This window comes from Homo sapiens, chromosome 12 (genome assembly GCF_000001405.40).
Source record: "Homo sapiens chromosome 12, GRCh38.p14 Primary Assembly".
Lineage (NCBI taxonomy): Eukaryota > Metazoa > Chordata > Mammalia > Primates > Hominidae > Homo > Homo sapiens.
Window position 1 is genome coordinate 79647849 of NC_000012.12, and position 18984 is coordinate 79666832.

Here is an 18984-nt window from a genome sequence, read left to right on the forward strand (position 1 = left end):
CCAATCTTTTTGGTACCAGGCACTGGTGCTATGGAACACAAGACAGGGGCAGGGGGATGGTTTCAGGATGAAACTGTTCTACCTCAGATCATCAGCCATTAGATTCTCATAAAGAGCATGCAACCTAGATCTCTCACATGCACAGTTCACATAAGGTTCACACTCCTTTGAGAATCTAATGCCCCTGCTGATCTGACAGGAGGCAGAGCTCAGGCAGTAATGTTAACTTGCTTGCCAGCGGCTCACCTCCTGCTGTGTGGCCTGGTTTCTAACAGGCCAAGGACCACAGAATGGCGACCCCTGTTCTAACATTCCTAACCTCAAAATCTTTATAAAATCCATAAAGTAAATAAAATGACTAAAGATGACTGCAGACTGGTAGGTTAAGAGATGGTCAATAAATTAGATTTGGTGCATTTAGCATTCCAAGAAGGTACTGTGCCCAGAAATTTGACAGGATGGATTCCTAATGTTCCTCTTATCCTAGCTGAAGACTTAATTACATTGCTGGTTCGGTAAATGAAGAGTCATACCCAAAATTTAAGTGGCCACATTTCCACTTTTCAATTAAACAAAGTCAGAAGTTATTGAGCAACCCAAACAACAACAACCACACACACATTTGGATATATGCTTTAAACTTCTATAATGTGTATTATTTGCATAAAAGGGACTGAGCGCAGTAATGCTTTGGGAGACCAAGGCGGGGGGATCGCTTGAGCAAAAGAGTTCAAGACCAACCTGGGCAACATAATGAGACCCTGTCTCTAAAAAAAAAAAAAAAAAAAAAATTAGTTGGGCATGGTGGCACATGTCTGTAGTCCCAGCTACCAGGGAGGCAGAGGTGGGAGGGTCACTTGAGCCCAGGAAGTCGAAGCTGCAATGAGCCATGACTATGCCTTTGCACTCCATCCTGGGCAACAGGATGGCTCTAACAGGGGCTAGAAAAAAAAAAATAAAAAAACCCTAAAAGGTCGTTTAGCAATTAACTTCTCTAAGTTTTCAGAAATCCTCCTACACTTGGAATATCATAAAAAGTAGTAATTTTGTGAAACTGTAGGGAGACTCTGCTATTCATGCTTTTAAAATGTGCTTTTAATTTCTCTGACTACTAAAGGCTATAATAATGTCACTTGGAAAACAGAAAGCTGAGTGAGCATCTGAGGGTAAAAAGGAATGTTTTCACAGACTCAGTTGGTAAATACCACTGGCCCTAGCTGAACACTGTGATTCCTTAACTGGAAGCCAATCACGATCTTAATTTTAAAAGTCTCCTTGTTACATAGGGCAAAGGGCAGCCATATTATCTCAATTACTCCTTCACAGAAAACTCAAGGATTGAACTAATACTTTGAAGCATCATAAACATGTTTTCCTTTTTACCATATTTCTGAGTCTATATGAAGAGGTCAGATTTAATTGAAATAGTCAACAGGCTCAGATGTTAGTCTAGTTTGGGTATTACAAAGGGCAGCTTTTTCTTTATGTTAAGGACATTTATGATATATTATATATAATATACCATAGGTCACTAGATACAAAAACATATATGTCAAGGATATATATAACATACAATACATGTATGTTAGGATATTTATTATAGCATTGTCATATTAAAAAGTTGGAGAGTCTAAATACCCATCAATAAGGAAATAGAGCTAGTCTCAGTGGCTCATGCTTGTAATCCCAGCACCTTGAGAGGCCCACGCAGAAGGATTGCTTGAAGCCAGGAGTACAAGACCAGCCCGGTGCAACATAGCAAAACACTGTCTCTATAAAAAATTTTTAAAAATATAGCCAGGCATAGTGGTGTGCACTTGTAGTCCCAACTGCTTGGGAGGCTGAGGTGGGAGGATGGTTTGAGCCCAGGATTTGAGGCTGCAGTGAGCTATGATTGCGCCAAGGGACTCCAGCCTGGTGACAGGGTGAGACCTAGTATCAAATAAATAAATAAGGAAATAGTTAAATCAGCAGTCCTCAACCTTTCTGACAACAGGGACTGGTTTCATGAAAGACAATTTTTTCACGGACTGGGCTGTAGCAGGGGGTAGGTTTTGGGATGAAACTGTTCCACCTCAGATCATCAGTCATTAGTTAAGATTCTCATAAAGAGCATGCAACCTAGATCCCTCACATGCACAGTTCACAATAGGGTTTGTGCTCCTAAGAAAATCTAATGCCACTGCTGATCTGATAGGAGGTGGCGCTCAGGCCGTAATGTTTGCCAGCCACTCACCTCCTGCTGTATAGCCTGGTAGGGTCTGCAGCCCAGGGTTTGAGAACCCCTGAGTTAAATTTCCATATCCATAAGATAATGTAGTGTGCAACCATTTAAAACAATGAGGTTAGATCTATAATGTATTGGCTACTTCACAATTAAAGTATATTTAAAGCATTTCATTTTATGACACATTTTAAGCAAATTTTGTTAGAATTCTTGCAATATCTGCTGAGCTGCAAAGGAAGGCTACACGCTACATTGACACTGTACCTTGTTATCAACAAAACTGCTAGTTATTAAATTTTTGGTTTTTTATTCCCAATGGGTGCATGCTCAAATATTGGACCTTCAGACTCATCTGTATATTGCCAAAGGACTGTACATGAGGATTCATATTCCATATAAACATCTCAGTATATTGGGCAAAACTTACTAAAATACATCAAAGGATCTTTGATCTACTAAACCAGGAGTTGGCAAATGTTTTCTCTGTAAAAACAGATAGTAAATATTATAGGCTTTGTGGACCATAGGTCTCTGTTGTTGTAGACCAAAATCTATCGGTCACAGACAATATATGAACAGGTGTGGCTGTGTTCCAGTAAAACTTTCCTTACTCAAGTTCAACAGAGCTTAAAGGTTATTAAAAAAAAAAAAAAAAAAAAAAGGTACTTACAAAGACAGGCAGTGGGCCGGACTTGGCCTACAACCACTAATTTGCTGATCCCTGTGCTAAAATCAAGGTGCTGCTAATGTAGTTAATCTTCTTTTTAACAGTACCCCACATGCATGCCATTATCCTTCAAAGGCAGACCTTTATACTGCGTGCTTTCATTTTGATATTTCAAATGTTCAATTTGCAAGTTACCATACAAGTGCTTTAAGGGAATAATATCTTGTGGGACTCAATACAGAACTTCAATGTCAAAACAATTTTTCATTGTATTAAAGCACAGAAGTGTGAATAAGGCCAGTACAATAGGAAGAAATAATTCTACACAAATACATCCTATAGTAATAAATTTGCAATCAAGAAATCCACTTGGGTGCTGGAGTAAATGGCCTTGAACAGAAAGAACTAGTATCTAGGAAATGCATAATCACATAAATAAAAATTTCTAAAATAAAGCAAAAGGTTACATTTCTAAACTTTATTTTTCTTTCTTCACACTTGAATTTTTATTCTAAGTGACCGAACAAAAAAATACACCAAGATGAAAAGGCAATTCAGAAAAGAAATACAAACACCTAGCAAATCAGTGTAAATAAATGCAATCTCCAAAAAAAGTAAATTATAACCAAAAGAATCGGTTAAAAAAATTAGGGTGCATAATTTGCATTTGAAGCTTTCCCTTACAAGCCTGAATCCTCAATACCAGATCTTCATCTTCCGTATCTCAGCTCAGCCTCTCCAAATACAGCTGCCTCATCAGGTATTTCAGTTTAGATCTGGCCAGATGATCAGGCTATTCCCCTATCTAGTCTGGGCCACAAAAGACTCAAGTGACATTAAGAAAAATCAAAGAAGATGAGCCAGGCCTGGTAGCTCATGCCTGTAATTATCTGGAGGCTAAGTGGGGAGGATTGCTCGAGCCTAGGAGTTCAAAGCCATCCTGGGCTCACAAAAAAATGGCGGGGGCTGGGGGGGTGGGGCCAGGTGGGAATTTCGATGCTTAAATTCCTTGGTCTCTTCTGTAGTAGATGTCTAAACCATTTGTAAGCCGATAGAAGGCAACGGTACAATCAGTATTTTAAATCTAGGCCATGAAAGAAAAAGAAGCAAGCCAGTATCTACCAAGCTACCAATGAATGAAGTGTTAGATACACATAATGGAATACTATTCAGCCTTAAAAAGGAAATTCTGATACATGCTGTAACATAGATGCACCTTTGAAGACATTATGCTAGAGGAAATAAGCCATTCACAAGAGGACAAATATGTATGATCTCCCTTCTACAAAGTACCTAGAGTAGTCAAATTAATATAGACAAAGTAGAATGGTGGTTGGCCAGAGGGGGGTGGGAAATTAGGAGTTATTGTTTACTAGATACGTAGTTTCAGTTTGGAAAGATGAAAAACTTCTGGAGATGGATAATGGTGATGGTTACAAAACAATGTAAATATACTTAATGCCACTGAACTCTACACTTAAAATGGTTCGATGCTAAGTTTTATATTATATACGTATATGTTACCACATTAATAAAAAAGGAAAGAAAAGCTGAAAGCAATTAAGTTTACAACTGACCCTAAAAACCTTTCAACAGCATTAGTGGAATTAAAATATTTAATTTACTAAGTAATACAAAGATACTCATTGGCTAAATATACCCTGCAATACAGACCACAACCTGAGATGTGCGGATGTGAGCAGATTAAAGAAAAGCTTTCAATACAAGTCACTTTTAAAGCTTTATTGTGAAGAAGCTTCAGATTTGTAATTCTGAAGGGAATGTGTCTTTTTCAAAAGTTCTTTGGAAAAAGTTCAATCACAAAACATGATCAAAATATGGAGCATCATGAATTTATTTCATTTTCCAACCTCTATATTAAACTGCTCCTAAAATGTATTTAAAAAGAATGCATATTCTTCAGCAAATCTTTTCATCAATCACCATGTGAAAACCTTTGGCAGGGACACTGTGCATTCCTGGGAGGATTTAAATTAATTTGTGAGGGAGTGAAACCTGGCTTATAAGCAAAGAATTGGATTTAGTATTTGACAAAGAGTTCTTTTCTGAATTTAAAATGTTGTATCATGAATTCACATTTATGTTCTCCATCACCAGTAAAGTAATAAAATAATATAGAACTTCAATTCAATTAAAAATATAGTTTTCTACGTATTTATGGTCATAGCTTTATCTGCCTACAACAACAAAGTATTTGAAATCACATTTCTACTTTGAGTTAAAAAAATAAATTAATATTCCAACTGTAAGAAATTCTGTTTTTGTGTTTGTTTTTTTATTTGTTTGTTTGTTTTTTTGAGACAGAGTCTCGCTGTTGTTGCCCGGGCTGGAGTGCAATGGCATGATCTCAGCTCACTGCAACCTCCACCTCCCACGTTCCAGCAATTCTCCTGCCTCAGCCTTCCAAGTTGCTTAGATTACACGACCACACTCAGCTAATTTTTGTATTTTTAGTAGAGACAGGGTTTCACCATGTTGGCCAGGCTGGTCTTGAACTCCTGACCCCAGGTGATCCACCGGCCTTGGCTTCCCAAAGTACTGGGATTACAGGCGTGAGCCACTGCACCCAGCCCAAAAAATCCTGTTTCAATTCATTTTGAAACTCTTACCTGATCTACTTTTAAAAAATGGGAGCTTTCTACTAAAAAGCAGGATATGTTTTTAAATTGCTGCAATTTCAATTTTCTTAAATATTTTTCAGTGAATGTTTGCAGTGTTTTGTTTGTTTGTTTTGAGGCAGAGTTTCGCTCTTGTTGCCCAGGCTGGAGTGCAATGGCACGATCTCAGCTCACTGCAACCTCCACTGCCCAGGTTCAAGCGATTCTCCTGCCTCAGCCTCCCGAGTAGCTGGGATTACAGGCATGCGCCACCACGCCAGGCTAATTTTGTACTTTTAGTAGAGACGGGGTTTCTCCATGTTGGTTAGGTTTGTCTCGAACTCCCAACCTCAGGTGATCCGCCCGCCTCGGCCTCCCAAAGTACTGGGATTACAGGCGTGAGCCACTGCACCTGCCCTCAGTGCTTATTTTTTAAGAATTCACCTCCTCATTTTATTTGTATTTCAAATTCAAATTCTTTTTTTAGAAAAATGTTAGACAAACTATTTTAACTGTAGACAACAGGAATTCATTTAATCCTGCAACTTTTAGTTGAGGCCTAAGAACTCAAACTGATTTATAGCATCCTTATTTGTACTGAAGTAAATCACAGAAAAATCAAGCCCAGTTGGAGGTACTACTGTGTCTGAATGATATAAAATCTTCCTATAATAGCCAAATTGTCAGATCAGCTTAAAGTCATAAAACATGTTAAAACAGCTGCTGTAAACATGAGAGAGGAAGATAAAAAGGTTAACAAAAATGAAGTGATGGTCCTTAAGAGACAGGGAAAAACCAATTAGCCTTATGTTTGGTTACATCAAATGATTAAATTTTAAATGACTGCATTTAAGATTTAAGTACAATACTATTCAAAGCACCAGCAAAGTGTGGGGGAGTTAGGGGAGACATGGGCTTGTCAATCTAATGGTTATAGTGACTAAAAATAGTAACAATGAGGCAGTACATGTGATCAATAAATTTTAAAATGGAGAGGGATGTGTTTCCATATAAATACAAAGCTTTGCATCATTTCTAACACACTGGTTCAAAAGATAGCTTTTTTTTTTGTACCCTGTCCAAAAGCAATGAGATGCTCCTTCCCATAAATCAAACAACCAAAGCTCTGGGAGAGCTGGCTTCCCTTCTTCACATGGGAAGCTGTTCATAAAGCCTAGTTCTCGTAGAGACTTACCACCTGTATTAGTCCGTTTTCACACTGCTACAAAGAACTGCCCAGTTTATAATAGCTGGGTAATTATAAGTAAGAGGTTTAATTGACTCACAGTTCCACATGGCTGTGGAGGCCTCAGGAAACTTACAATCATGGAGGAAGGCGAAGCAGGCACCTTCTTCAAAAGGTGGCAGGAGAGTGTGAGCATGTAGAGAACTACCATTTATAAAACCATCAGATCTCGTGAGAATTCACTATCACGAGAACAACACGGAGGAAACCACCCCCATAATCCTATCACTTCCCTCTCTCTAAACATGGTGATTACAATTCGAAATGAGATTTGGGTGGGGACACAGAGCCAAACCATATCACCACCCCAGAGGGAGTTACCACTTGGGTACTGGGGATTGCCAGCAGTTAAATGCCCTTTATTCTTTATTCTGTTCAATAACAATCAAGGAATTGAAGGAATTCTTTCAGCTCGCTAAGCTGCCAGGTATTGCTGTGGTACTCTATAGGAAAAGTTAAGGAAATAAGAGAAAGTATAAATTTGCTTAGGTGTAGCATCTCTTTTAGTTTTCTAATGCATTGCCTGGAGGCTTGTTAAGAATAGAATGTCAGGCCTTTAAACAAATCCCAGTCTCTTTAAACAAAATCTGCAGCTTAACAAGAGCCTCAGGTGATTCGTATGCACATTAAAGTCTGAGGAGTACTGGTCTTTAGGGACCACAGCTGCCAACCTGACAGCCCCAATTAGCTCCAGGCCGCCACTCTCCAAACATTTAGGCTTTACAAAGAATGTGTGAAAGCAGCTCAAAATCTAAATATGAAATGACAATTTCTCAAATTCCAGACTAAAAAGAGAGAGGACTTCAAACTAAAACATAGGTTCTTATTCCTGGCTCTCCTTAGAATTCCCTAGGCACTAGTTTTACCAAAATATCAGTGCCCAGGACCTACCTACACCAAAGGATTAAATACTGGTCATCAGTTTCCCAGGTGATTTTAACATGTAGCTAAAAAGGATAACCAATAAACTTAGAGCATGCCTTCTCAACCTTTAAATGCAGATTCGGATTTCAGGAAGTCTGTATTAAGGCCTCAGATACTACATTTCCAACAATATTCTGAAATGGAGCAACTCAGCCTCTGCCCTTGTGGTCCGTAAATTTAGAAACAGGTTGTCAAAAAGACTTCAAGCTTTTGCCCTCAGAGCATCTTTCTCTATAGTCAAGTATGATTACTGCCTCCAATTCAGAATATTAACATATGTGTTATAAACTGTTTTAGACAAAGTCAATACAAAAATATGACATAAAATTCCTACCCTTGTGGGGTATACAGTGTAAAATATGTGAAAGAGACAAATAAGCAATTAAAATAGAGTGCTGATAGAAGGTATCTAACCCAGATCCGGGATCAAGAAAGATTTCCGGAGTGATATCTAATAGAGATAAGCAAATGTGGGATAGAACTCCTTCAGGCAAAGGGTAGTAAATCTCAAGATCTGAAGATGAAGGAAAGCATATCACATCTGAGGTATCAAGGTATCCTTCCAAGAATATGAAGGATAGAATATTTGAGAGGTGAGACAGAACGGGCAGAGGGAGCAAAGACGAAAACACGAAGAATGCTGTAAACCACCTTAAATATATTTTGGACTTGTCCTAAAGAAAACAGAAAACTGTATGAATAGATTTGTGTTTTGAAAACTAGTTCTAACTGCAGGATAAAGAGCAGACTAGAGGCAGATAAATTAATTAGGATCTACTATAGTGATTCAACTGGTTGATACTGGTAGCCTGAACTAGTGTGGTAGTAATGAGAATGGGAGAGAAGTAGATGAATCTGAGCAATATCTAGAACTAAAATTGACAACATACGGTGAATGGATGCGTAACATGGGGGTGAGGCGGGGAAATATGGAAGACATATGTCAATTCAGAACATTTGTGGCAATGACTTGGAAAAACTAGGTAGATGGTGCTACTACTCACAAGTTAGGAATACAAGAACAGGAAGGTTTAGCAGGAGAAAATTATGATGATTTAGAAAAAAGCAGAAAATGTCCAATAGGCAGACTAGCACACAGGTCTCAAGCTCAAGAGGAAAATATTGACTGGAAATATAGATTAGTAAATTCAATAATGACATCCAGTTCTGGCCAAGTTGGAATAATTGGGACCAGATTTACCACCATCCCTGAAATAACAACAAAAAATAGATGAAATATACAAAATAATAGTTTTCAGAGACTAAACATAAGGCAGCACAAAACAATGACCCTGAGAGACAGAAAACAAACCAGGTGAGCTCTAAAATTACTGCAGCTTAGTGAGGGAGAACCTGGGCAGAGACCAGCACTCTCCCTGAATTGAAAAGATGGAAATGGGAGTCCAGGAATGCCAAGGTAGCTAGTTTTCAGGTCAGAGTTCTGAAGAGGAAAAAAACAGCAGAGATCTCTCTGTAATCTAAGTATTGAACAGCATCTTACGCACATGAGGAAATACTCCAAGGCTGGGGAGAGTCATCCGAAAGGTTGAAGGAATAAACCTAAACAAAGCTGAGAAGAGGCAACATGAATGAATCTCAAGACAAGGGTGCTCAATGAAGCTAGATTTTAGGGAAAAAAAGAGTCCATAATGTATGCTTCCATTTATATAAAATTCTAGAAAATTCAAAGTACTCTATTGTAACAGAAAGCAGATCAACAGTTGCCTTGGGCTGGGGAAAGGATTACAAAGGAACACGGGTAAACTCGTGGGGGTGATGGATTGTTCATTCAATACCTTGAGTGTGGTGGTTTCATGTGCCAAAACTTGTTGAATTGCACACTGCAAAAAAATGCAGTTTACTGTAGGTCACCTACACTTCAATATATTTAAAAAAAAAAAAACTATCAGGATACATATAGTAACTAAGTTAAGGGGGTGGGTTGAGATTGCTGAGAAATCCTATATAGATTCTGAAGAAGGGCCGCGCGGTGGCTCACGCCCGTAATCCCAGCACTTTGGGAGGCTGAGGCGGGCGGATCACAAGGTCAGAAGACCGAGACCATCTTGGCTAACACGGTGAAACCCCGTCTCTACTAAAAACACACAAAAAAATTAGCTGGGCGTGGTGGCGGGCGCATGTAGTCCCAGCGACTCGGGAGGCTGAGGCAGGAGAATGGCGTGAACCCGGGAGGTGGAGCTTGCAGTGAGCCGAGATCGCGCCACTGCACCCCAGCCTGGGCCACAGAGCGAGACTCCGTCTCAAAAAAAAAAAAAGATTCTCAAGGAGGACTCGAATAGAACCATAAAGGGTACCAACATTTAAGGAAGTAATAAAACAGAGATTATGAAGGAATGTCCAAAGAATTGGAGGAGAAATCTGAGGAGTATGGCGTCATTGAAGCAAAGGGGGAAAAATTTTTCTCAAGGAGAAAATATGAAAGATCCATAATGTCAAACAAGATAAGGCCTTAAAATGTCCAATGTGCATATGACTGAAAGACTATGAGGTGGGCATCATGGTGCAGGAAGAAAGAGCACCAAAGCAGTCTCATATCCAAAAATTTGTGTCACTTTACCTAGAAAGACTAAGAAATCTAGAGGAATTTTTATTTCAGATTTGACAGTTAAGAAAAACACAGGAATCCTAGATGCCAACAGATCTTTGCACCTGGCATTGGCACCCTCCTAATATGTTATATTCAATATAAACAATAATTAATTGTCCTTAAAGAGTCTTTAAAAGAAATTAGGCCAGAATCAAGCTAAGAGTTATTAATGCATACAACCCATTAAGGATAAGGAAAAGTTCAACTTAGAGGTCTATCATCCCATCTGAATTTAATAAGAAACTAAATACTTGAAATTCTTCCAGTTTTTCTTTTTTAGTGAGTAATAGGGGGTTGTGTTCCTCTTATCGGACAACCAAGCAGAGAAAAAAGATTTTTTTGCCTTGTGTTTGAATAAAAACTTATGTTTACATACAGATGCACATCATCAGTACACATAAGAATTTAATCAGTAAATTAAATGTAGTGAACAATCTCCAAAACAAATGCAGATTTATGTTATATAACACTAAAATTTCAAGAGAATATTCATCCTTCAAAATAAATAATACAATAAAATAGCTGTTTAATTGTTTAAGTTTACAGATTCAGTTGGAATGAATCTGTAAGGCTGGAGTGCAGTGGCATGATCTCAGCTCACTGCAACCTCCACCTCCCAAATTCAAGCGATTCTCCTGCCTCAGCCTCTTGGGTAGCTGGGATTACAGGCACCCGCCATGCCCAGCTAATTTTTGTATTTTTAGTAGTGATGGGATTTCACCACATTGGCCAGGCTGGTCTTGAACTCGTGACTTCAAGTGATCCACCCACCTCAGCCTCTCAAAGTGCTGGGATTACAGTCATGAGCCACTGCTCCTGGCCTCTTAGCACACTAAAAAAAAAAAAAAAAGAAAAAGAAAAAAAACCACACACATCTGGCTGGGCACAGAGGCTCACGCCTGTTATCCCAACACTTTGGGAGGCCAAGGCAGGCGGATCACAAACTCAGGAGATCAACACCATCCTGGCTAACACGGTGAAACCCCATCTCTACTAAAAGTACAAAAAACGAGCCAGGCGTGGTGGCGGGCGCCTGTAGTCCCAGCTACTTGGGCTAAGGCAGGAGAATCGCTTGATCCCGGGAGGTGGAGGTTGCAGTGAGCCAAGATGGCGCCACTGCACTCCAGCCTGGGCGACAGAGTGAGACTCAGTCTCAAAGAAAAAAAAAAAAATCTAAATTCAAGCTAAAAAAATATCCCTGTAATGTATTTTGGCAGGGGCATTTTAGACATCGGGAAAGGTGAGTAAACATAGAAGTCCAAATCTAATCATATACTTTAACATAAATAGGCTTTATTTGTTCTTGTCATTAAAAACACTGCCTCTGGCCTCCTCATGTTAGCAGCCAATTCCCCATTTGTACAGAAGTAATACATGACTAGAGAAAGCCCATTAGCATACATTGTCCGCACCAAGAAACCCCTAAATAAGGCTAAAGTGTTAATAAAATTTTTCCATGGCAAATCCCATTTTACAACTATGCACATTTCTATCTACAGTTATTCAGATTATTTATTGTATTCTTATACAACTAAAGAGGAAAATAAACTATAGTAGATTGACAGTTCACATTAATTCAAAATCCTATTAATGATAAAAACAACATCAACCAAGTTTTTAAAAATTATTTTGTGGTATTTGGAAAATATTTTGTCTGTTGCCCATCCTGTTTAATTTTTTTTCTCTTCTCATATTTAAAGGAAATATTTGGATTTAAAAGACTACAGACTCCCCAAAAGTAGTTTTTGTCCAAAAGAAGGGAGATTAAAGGGGGTGGGGAAAGAAGTAAAGACATGGAAAAAAAGATTTACTCTTCTTAAGTAACTATTATACTAGACAAGGCTGCAGGAAATAATAGTAAAAAGAAAATGCTGAGAACAATACACTCTCTCACTATGGTTAGTGCCAGGCCCATATTAACAGTTTTGCAGATAAAACTAGCCATTAAAAAGCAGTGAGCAAACATACCACAGACATTGTCGGTTATAAATGTTAACAGTACTTGGAGCTTTCCAATCAGCTACAGTGAACTGTCTAAAGTCTCTTACAAATTTATCCCAGTCAAGAGTAGCCAAGGAAAATGAAATGAGGGAAACAGGTAACAGCACAGATAAAATCCTTTTTCCTAGGGCAATCTTCATAGTGGCACTGACAGGAATCTCCTCCTTCCCCAATAAACTGAAAATGTTATGAGACAGAGAATGAAAGGAATTAAGTATCCCAGGACAATTCAAGATGACAAATAGAAACAAACAGAAGTGCTAAGAGGTTATACTGAGAGAAGTGTGTTATAAGAAGCCTTCCAAATGATGTTATGCACTAAAGTTTGAGAACCACTGCCACAGACAAACTGACTAGGTTCACATCATTACCTCTAAAGATCTCTTCCCTAAACTCCAGACGTGATATATCTAGCAAGATGGCTAAAAAAACATTTCATTGTACTTTTTTTTTTTTTTTTTTGAGATGGAGTCTCGTTCTGTTGCCCAGGCTGGAGTGCAGTGGCACAATCTTGGCTCACTGCAACCTCTGCCTCCCGGGTTCAAGTGATTCTCCTGCCTCAGTCTCCCGAGTAGCTGGGACTACAGGTGCATGCCACCAGGCCCAGCTAATTTTTGTAATTTTACTAGAGACGGGGTTTCACCATATTGGTCAGGATGGTCTTGAACTCCTGAACTGAGCTGATCCACCTGCCTCAGCCTCCCAAAGTGCTGGGATTACAGGCGAGAGCCATTGCGGCCAGCCACTGTATTTTTTTTTAAAGTATATAATTATATAGACTACAGAATATAAAGATTAAGTCCATATAGCTAAGAAAAAAATCTGTCCTTAAGAGCGTACAATTTTGGCTGGGCACAATGACTCACGCCTGCAATCCCAGCACTTTGGGAGGCCGAGGTGGGTGTATCACTTGAGGTCAGGAGTTCGAGACCAGCCTGGCCAACAGGGTGAAACCCCATCTCTAACAAAAATACAAAAATTAGCCTGTAATCCCAGCTACTGGGGAGGCTGAGGCAGGGGAATTGCTTGAACCCGGGAGGCGGAGGTTGCAGTGAGCTACGATAGCGCCATTGCACTCCAGCCTGGGCGAAGAAGCGAGACTCTGTCTCAAAAAAAAAAAAAAAAAAAAGAACTTACATTTTAGTAAACTTTGAGCCATAATATTTCTACAATCTGTCCTTAGAAACTTAAATTTTAAACTTTTAGCTTACAAACAAAAGATTTCAAATCCATTATGCCATTAACAACCTTGAAAGAAAAAATCTCTGGAGATATCCACACATATTTCTTGGTAAAAACAGAAAATATCTCCAGAAGGATACTTAAGAAATAACAACAATGGCTGTCTGCACCACTTGAAATTTTATCATGGACATGTCACTCTTTTCTTAAGAAATTAATTTATTACATTTAAGATAATGTTTTAAGCCGTAAGAAGATAGTTTTCTTACTCAAAAATTTTATGTTAGTAACATTTTACACTTAAAAAAACTATTAAAACTAGGAAATCTTCAAAGTTTGATTCATTTTAAAGACATTATTACATACATTAGACCAAAGCCCTCTCCCTACACCATGTTCCCCTTATCCTCACAAACACTTATTTCAATAGGCATCTATGAAAAGTCTATGTGTCATCAGTAAATGGTAATATGATCAGCTGGGGCCATACACTAAGCAGGGGAGACTACAGAGTTCAGGGAATTATAATATAGTAGGGTTACAGCTGCTTAATCATATTCAGAAGGTAAAATGGAAAAGTAACAAAAAGTAAAAATAAATAAAAACATCTCAAACAATAACCTAAATGTTGCCACTTTAATAAATGATAAAAAAAGATTCTCATACCCAAAGATAGTATTTTCAAAAAGCTCTATTTCAACTTGAAATTCAGGGCATATTACCTAAATGACAGAAAAATCTCAGTCAATACGCATAGTAGCATTTAGCTAAGCACAGTGGCATGTGCCTGTGGTCACAGCTACTTCAGAGGCTGAGGTAGGAGGTTTACTTGAACCCACAAGTTCAAGGCCAGCCTGGGCAACATACTGAGACATCTCTCAAAAAAAAAAAAAAAAAAAAAAGCATACTAATGCTTAAAAGATCCAGAACTTTCAGGACAGGAAACAGTAATATAAATCATTTGTAGTTCACATTTGAAAAAACAGTTTTTACTGATAACATCTTGTTTAACCCTAACAACCACCCTGGGAATAGGCTTTGATGTATTCTAACAACAAAATAATCAAGGATCAAAGAAGTTAGGTAACTGCTCAGAATCATCCAGCTCCAGAAAAGTCCAGTCTTTTAGTTCTTTGCCTGTGACTTTCTACTGTATTTACTGTATGAGGAAATCTAGATATCCTGCAATTATTAATCTCTTACTTCCATTCACATTCTAGTTCTAGACACTTCAATAATGGACCACACTGCCAAGCTGACCTAGAATTCAGTTCAGCTCACTTCCTTCTACAAGGCAAAAGTATCACTCATACATAAAGACAAAAAAGCAGAAGCCCAGCTCTTTATGGATTCCAGACTAAGAAATGCACAAAGGTTTAAACCAAATCACATAAAGTCCATTTACACAAAGGCTTGAACAAAATCACATAAAGCCTATCTACTTTTTCTTAGATTTCTAAGGGTTACTAAGCACTCTTAGCACTTGGCATGTGAAGATGGAGTAAGGAAACATCAAGAAAATGCTGTTTTTAAAGTGCTAATTATTAATCACAAGGAAATAATTAAAATGATTCTATGGTAACATGTTGTCATTAAAAACAAAAAATAGCTATCCTTTGAGAATGAGAACCTCTTACATGGCAGATATTTTGAGTAAATGCTTTTAATTTATTTAATTCTAAGCCTAAAGATAGGCAGTTCAATCTCCATTATACTAATGAGAGCCTGTCCACCTACCTAATTTTACACAACAAGTAACTATCTTACTCCAAAATTCATCAACTTCATTTTTTGTGTAATGGGAAAATAATGAATGCATAAGGTGTTCAGTAGCATAAGGCTTGCTCCCTTGGTGTGGCCAAAGAACACCAGTTACTTACTCTGTATTCTAAGGTTTTGTACATGGGATATGGAGATTTTTATTGGTGCTTTGCCTCCTTCTCCTATCTTGTCTATGGTTTTAAGTGTTGATGCACACATTTCAGGACTATTTCTTTATCTTCTCTGTCGTTTAGGAATACACCTGACAGAAATGGGTGCCACTTTTGACTTACAGTTTACACCTTAATCAGAATTACCTGGGAAGATTTTTTAAATGTAGATTCATCAGTCCTGTCATAGATTCATTAAAGTTCCCTTCGTGATTCTTAGGCAAATAAAGTTTAAAAACTTATTTGTTTTTATTTTACACCGTGGGAAGCTGAGGCAGGAGGATCGCTTGAGCCCAGGAGCTCAAGACTAGCCTGGGCAACATGGCAAAACCCCAGCTCTACTAAAAAATACAAAAAATTAGCTGGGTGTGGTGGCGCACACCTGTAGTCCCAGCTACTTGGGAGGCTGAGGTGGGACAATCACTTGAGTGCGGGAGGTGGAGATTGCAGTGAGCCATGATCTGCACCACTATACTCCAGCCTGGGCAATGGAGTGAGACTCTGTCTCAAACAAAACCAAAAAAAAAAACCCTATTTATTTTAAAAGCACAGTGTGAACTTCTGACACAGAAACTTCTAAGAGAAATAAATGAAAAGTTTTATTACATGTAGTGATTTACTAACATCCCAGTTAACTGAAGAGTAAGATTAATCAGGCTATGTGCTTATAATATAATAAACAAAAATAAATCCAACTACAAAGTATATGCCAAATATACATTTTAGGAAAAGTACTGAGTATTGGCAAATATGAAATTGCCAATGTGCCAATGGGAGAAATAGCTTATAATAAAATAGTCCATCTTACATTCCAAACAGAAATTTGCCCATTAAAAATAACTAGTCATAGTGAGAAATGTGGGATTATTTATCACTATTCATAAAGGATTATTTTCTTAAAAGATGGACAAAGTAAATATCCTCGAGACAGTCAACAGAGGCCACCACTTCAAGGGTTGAGACTGCAACTAGACCCCAACTTTTTTTTAAGTGCATTTTCATTACTCAAAAAGATCTGGAAATAAAAGACAATGATCGGAGTGATCCTCTTCTTTCACTCCACCTCTGCAAAACCCTCCCTCAATTAAAAAAAATATATAGTAAATTAAACACTCATTTCTTTACTATCTTACTTAGAGTCTTCTCTAATTTTTAGAACTTTAGGATCATGCCATGCTTCCAGATCATTAACTACCAAAAACTTTAATACCAAGTTTTTATACTAAACCTATATTTACTGTAACATGCCCTGAAAGGGCATTTTTGTTTGTTTTTAAACCCATGTCATTATCTTGTTTGGGGCCACACATTGTTTTTTAGAAAGTCAATGTTTCAAAAGGTAGTATTAAAAATAAGGTCCTAAATGTGCTATCAAATTATTTTAAGGACAAAGTAGACTCTTTGGCGGGGGGGGGAGGAGAGAGAGAGAGTGGTCTTGCTATGTTGTCCAGGCCAGCCTTGAACTCCTGGACTCAAGTGATCCTCCTGCCTCAGCCTCCCAAGTACTCGGGACTACGGATATGCGTCATCATGTCTGGCTATTTTTTTTTTTTAAAGTTCCAAGGCCTATACTTGAACAAAAATAAAATAGTGATTATTGTGCAAGTATAGTTAATACATCTACTATTGCTGTAAACCAAAAATGTAGTGAACATTCAGTCACTGCATTCAGCATTTACAACTACACAACATCTCTTCAATTTCCAACTTGGAAGGAGGAGCAGCAATTCACTAAACCATTTTCCAAAAGTCAACAATAGTTATATTTTAAGGTTCAACTGTGAGGTTTACTATGTACCTCCAATAATATGAAAAAACAGATTATAACAATGAAGATTTAATTTCTGAGATATGTTTCCATAGAATGATGGTACTACTCAGAAGATTCCCAAAAAAATCTGATTTTTAAGGAAAATTTTATAGAGACAAAAATTAGTTCCATTTACTTTTCTTATAGTCTACAAATACATAACTAAAACAGATATCTTCAAACCATAACTATTCTATTAAGTTCCAATCTCTAAAACAATTTTCATCAGGTCCAAAAACAACAAGAGATTAAGTCTAACTAGAAAAGATTTATTTTGCTGACAGATTATGCTATTTGGTCCAGCTTCCTTCCATCCTTCAACTCACATCCTTCCCACATCTAACCCACATTAAATGACTATTTAAACTGCCAAATATTTTAAGATGTATAGATAGTTGGCTCAATAAACTTGTCTCAACGTATTTCTATTGTATCATAAAAATTCCGTAAGTCAATTAAAATAAAAATTGTTACATAGAGGAAAACTGACTTCACATTTCATCTCAAGTATATACAAGTAAGGAATTAAGATGAACTTCCCCTTTCATTTGTGTTTAAGAACAAGAACTGAAATTTCATTATGCCTAATTAACCTATTACTTACACTACTCTGATATACATCTCCTCTCTCCAGACTTCATTCCATTCCAAGTCTTAGTCTCTGGGTTGTATCATTTATGACAGCTTACAACTCCCTGTCTTGCCTCAAGAGCGCTCAAGTTTTTGAAGCAATTCTGGAAGCAAATTAGTTGAGTTTTATAAAATCAAACTGCAGCAAAACTCAATATCCCGTAACAGAGCCTGATTTTTCTCTTCCATGGAGTTAATAGTAATATATCTCACAATAAATAAGCATTTTAAGCTAATCGCAGACATTATCTTGTTAACTTTGCATTTTCACAAGGAAATAGGTGAAAGTATCATCAGATAACTTGAAAGCTTCCAATCCTTTTTAGACTCCTCAAGCAAGTTTCTTAAAGAGATTATATAGTGTTAGTTGATATAGTACTAAAATAAGCAACCTCTAAGATACAAACTGCATCTTAATAATTTAAGAAGCCAACTGTATTAGTGGAGTCCTTCCTTCACTTGTTAAGTGGAGGCGGTTTCAATTAGTACAAAGGGGGCTTAAAAGTAGTCTTCTCATCTCTTTCTCACATAGTAAAATGAATGCAATAAAGCTTCTGTCTCCTTAAAGGAAAAGAATCAAGCATCTAGGCTATCTTATTTGTACAAATTGTATCTCAAGGTAACTAAAACAGCTGATGAAAGGAAATTTCTCTATATAAAATATTCCAGGTAATAAATTACAAAGGAATGAATTAGAATACCACCATTTTGCAACCAATAATAAAATAGATCATAGTCCAAGCACCCCTGTGAGTCCCCAAGACCATTTCAGAGGATCCGCAAGGTCAAACTATTTTTAGAATGCTAAAATCTTACTTGCCTTTTCTCTCCTCATTCTCCCATGAGTGTACACAAAGTTTCCAACGGTTACATGATATGTAATATTACAACAAACTAAAGGATGAAGCAGATAGGAGAAACAGGATGTCTTCTTTTCAGCTGAACAATAAAGAGATTTACAAAAATGTTAAACAGTGGACCAATTTTCTAAATTTTTGTTTGGAAAATAGTTCTCACAAAAATGTTATTTATATAAACATGCAGTGGGCTTTTTTTCCAATTAATAACAGGCATTTCTAAAATTTCTTGGTTTTAATTTCTAAAAAAGTAAATGCTCATACATACAGTGATATTTACACA

At 37.5% G+C, this 18984-nt stretch overlaps 1 protein-coding gene across 10 annotated transcripts in view, besides 1 other annotated feature; it reads right to left on the minus strand.

Moving 5' to 3' along the window:
- Positions 1–18984, minus strand: part of PAWR (pro-apoptotic WT1 regulator) — a 106086-nt gene that overhangs the window by 62970 nt on the left and 24132 nt on the right. For 2 of the 10 annotated variants that reach the window (XR_944561.3, XR_944560.3), the window contains exon 4: positions 13402–18783. The exons of the other annotated variants lie outside the window; for them this stretch is intronic. The gene's annotated coding sequence lies outside the window, so the exon portion shown is untranslated. Of the gene's footprint in view, positions 1–13401; positions 18784–18984 lie in introns of those variants that run through there. 10 annotated transcript variants of the gene reach the window in all.
- Positions 6973–7657: an enhancer, noted in NCBI's record as "OCT4-NANOG hESC enhancer chr12:80048601-80049285 (GRCh37/hg19 assembly coordinates)". NCBI's record gives its function as "activates a minimal SCP1, AML or CMV promoter by ChIP-STARR-seq in primed H9 embryonic stem cells {active_cell/tissue: H9 hESC(primed)}" and the evidence as "EXISTENCE:reporter gene assay evidence [ECO:0000049][PMID:30033119]".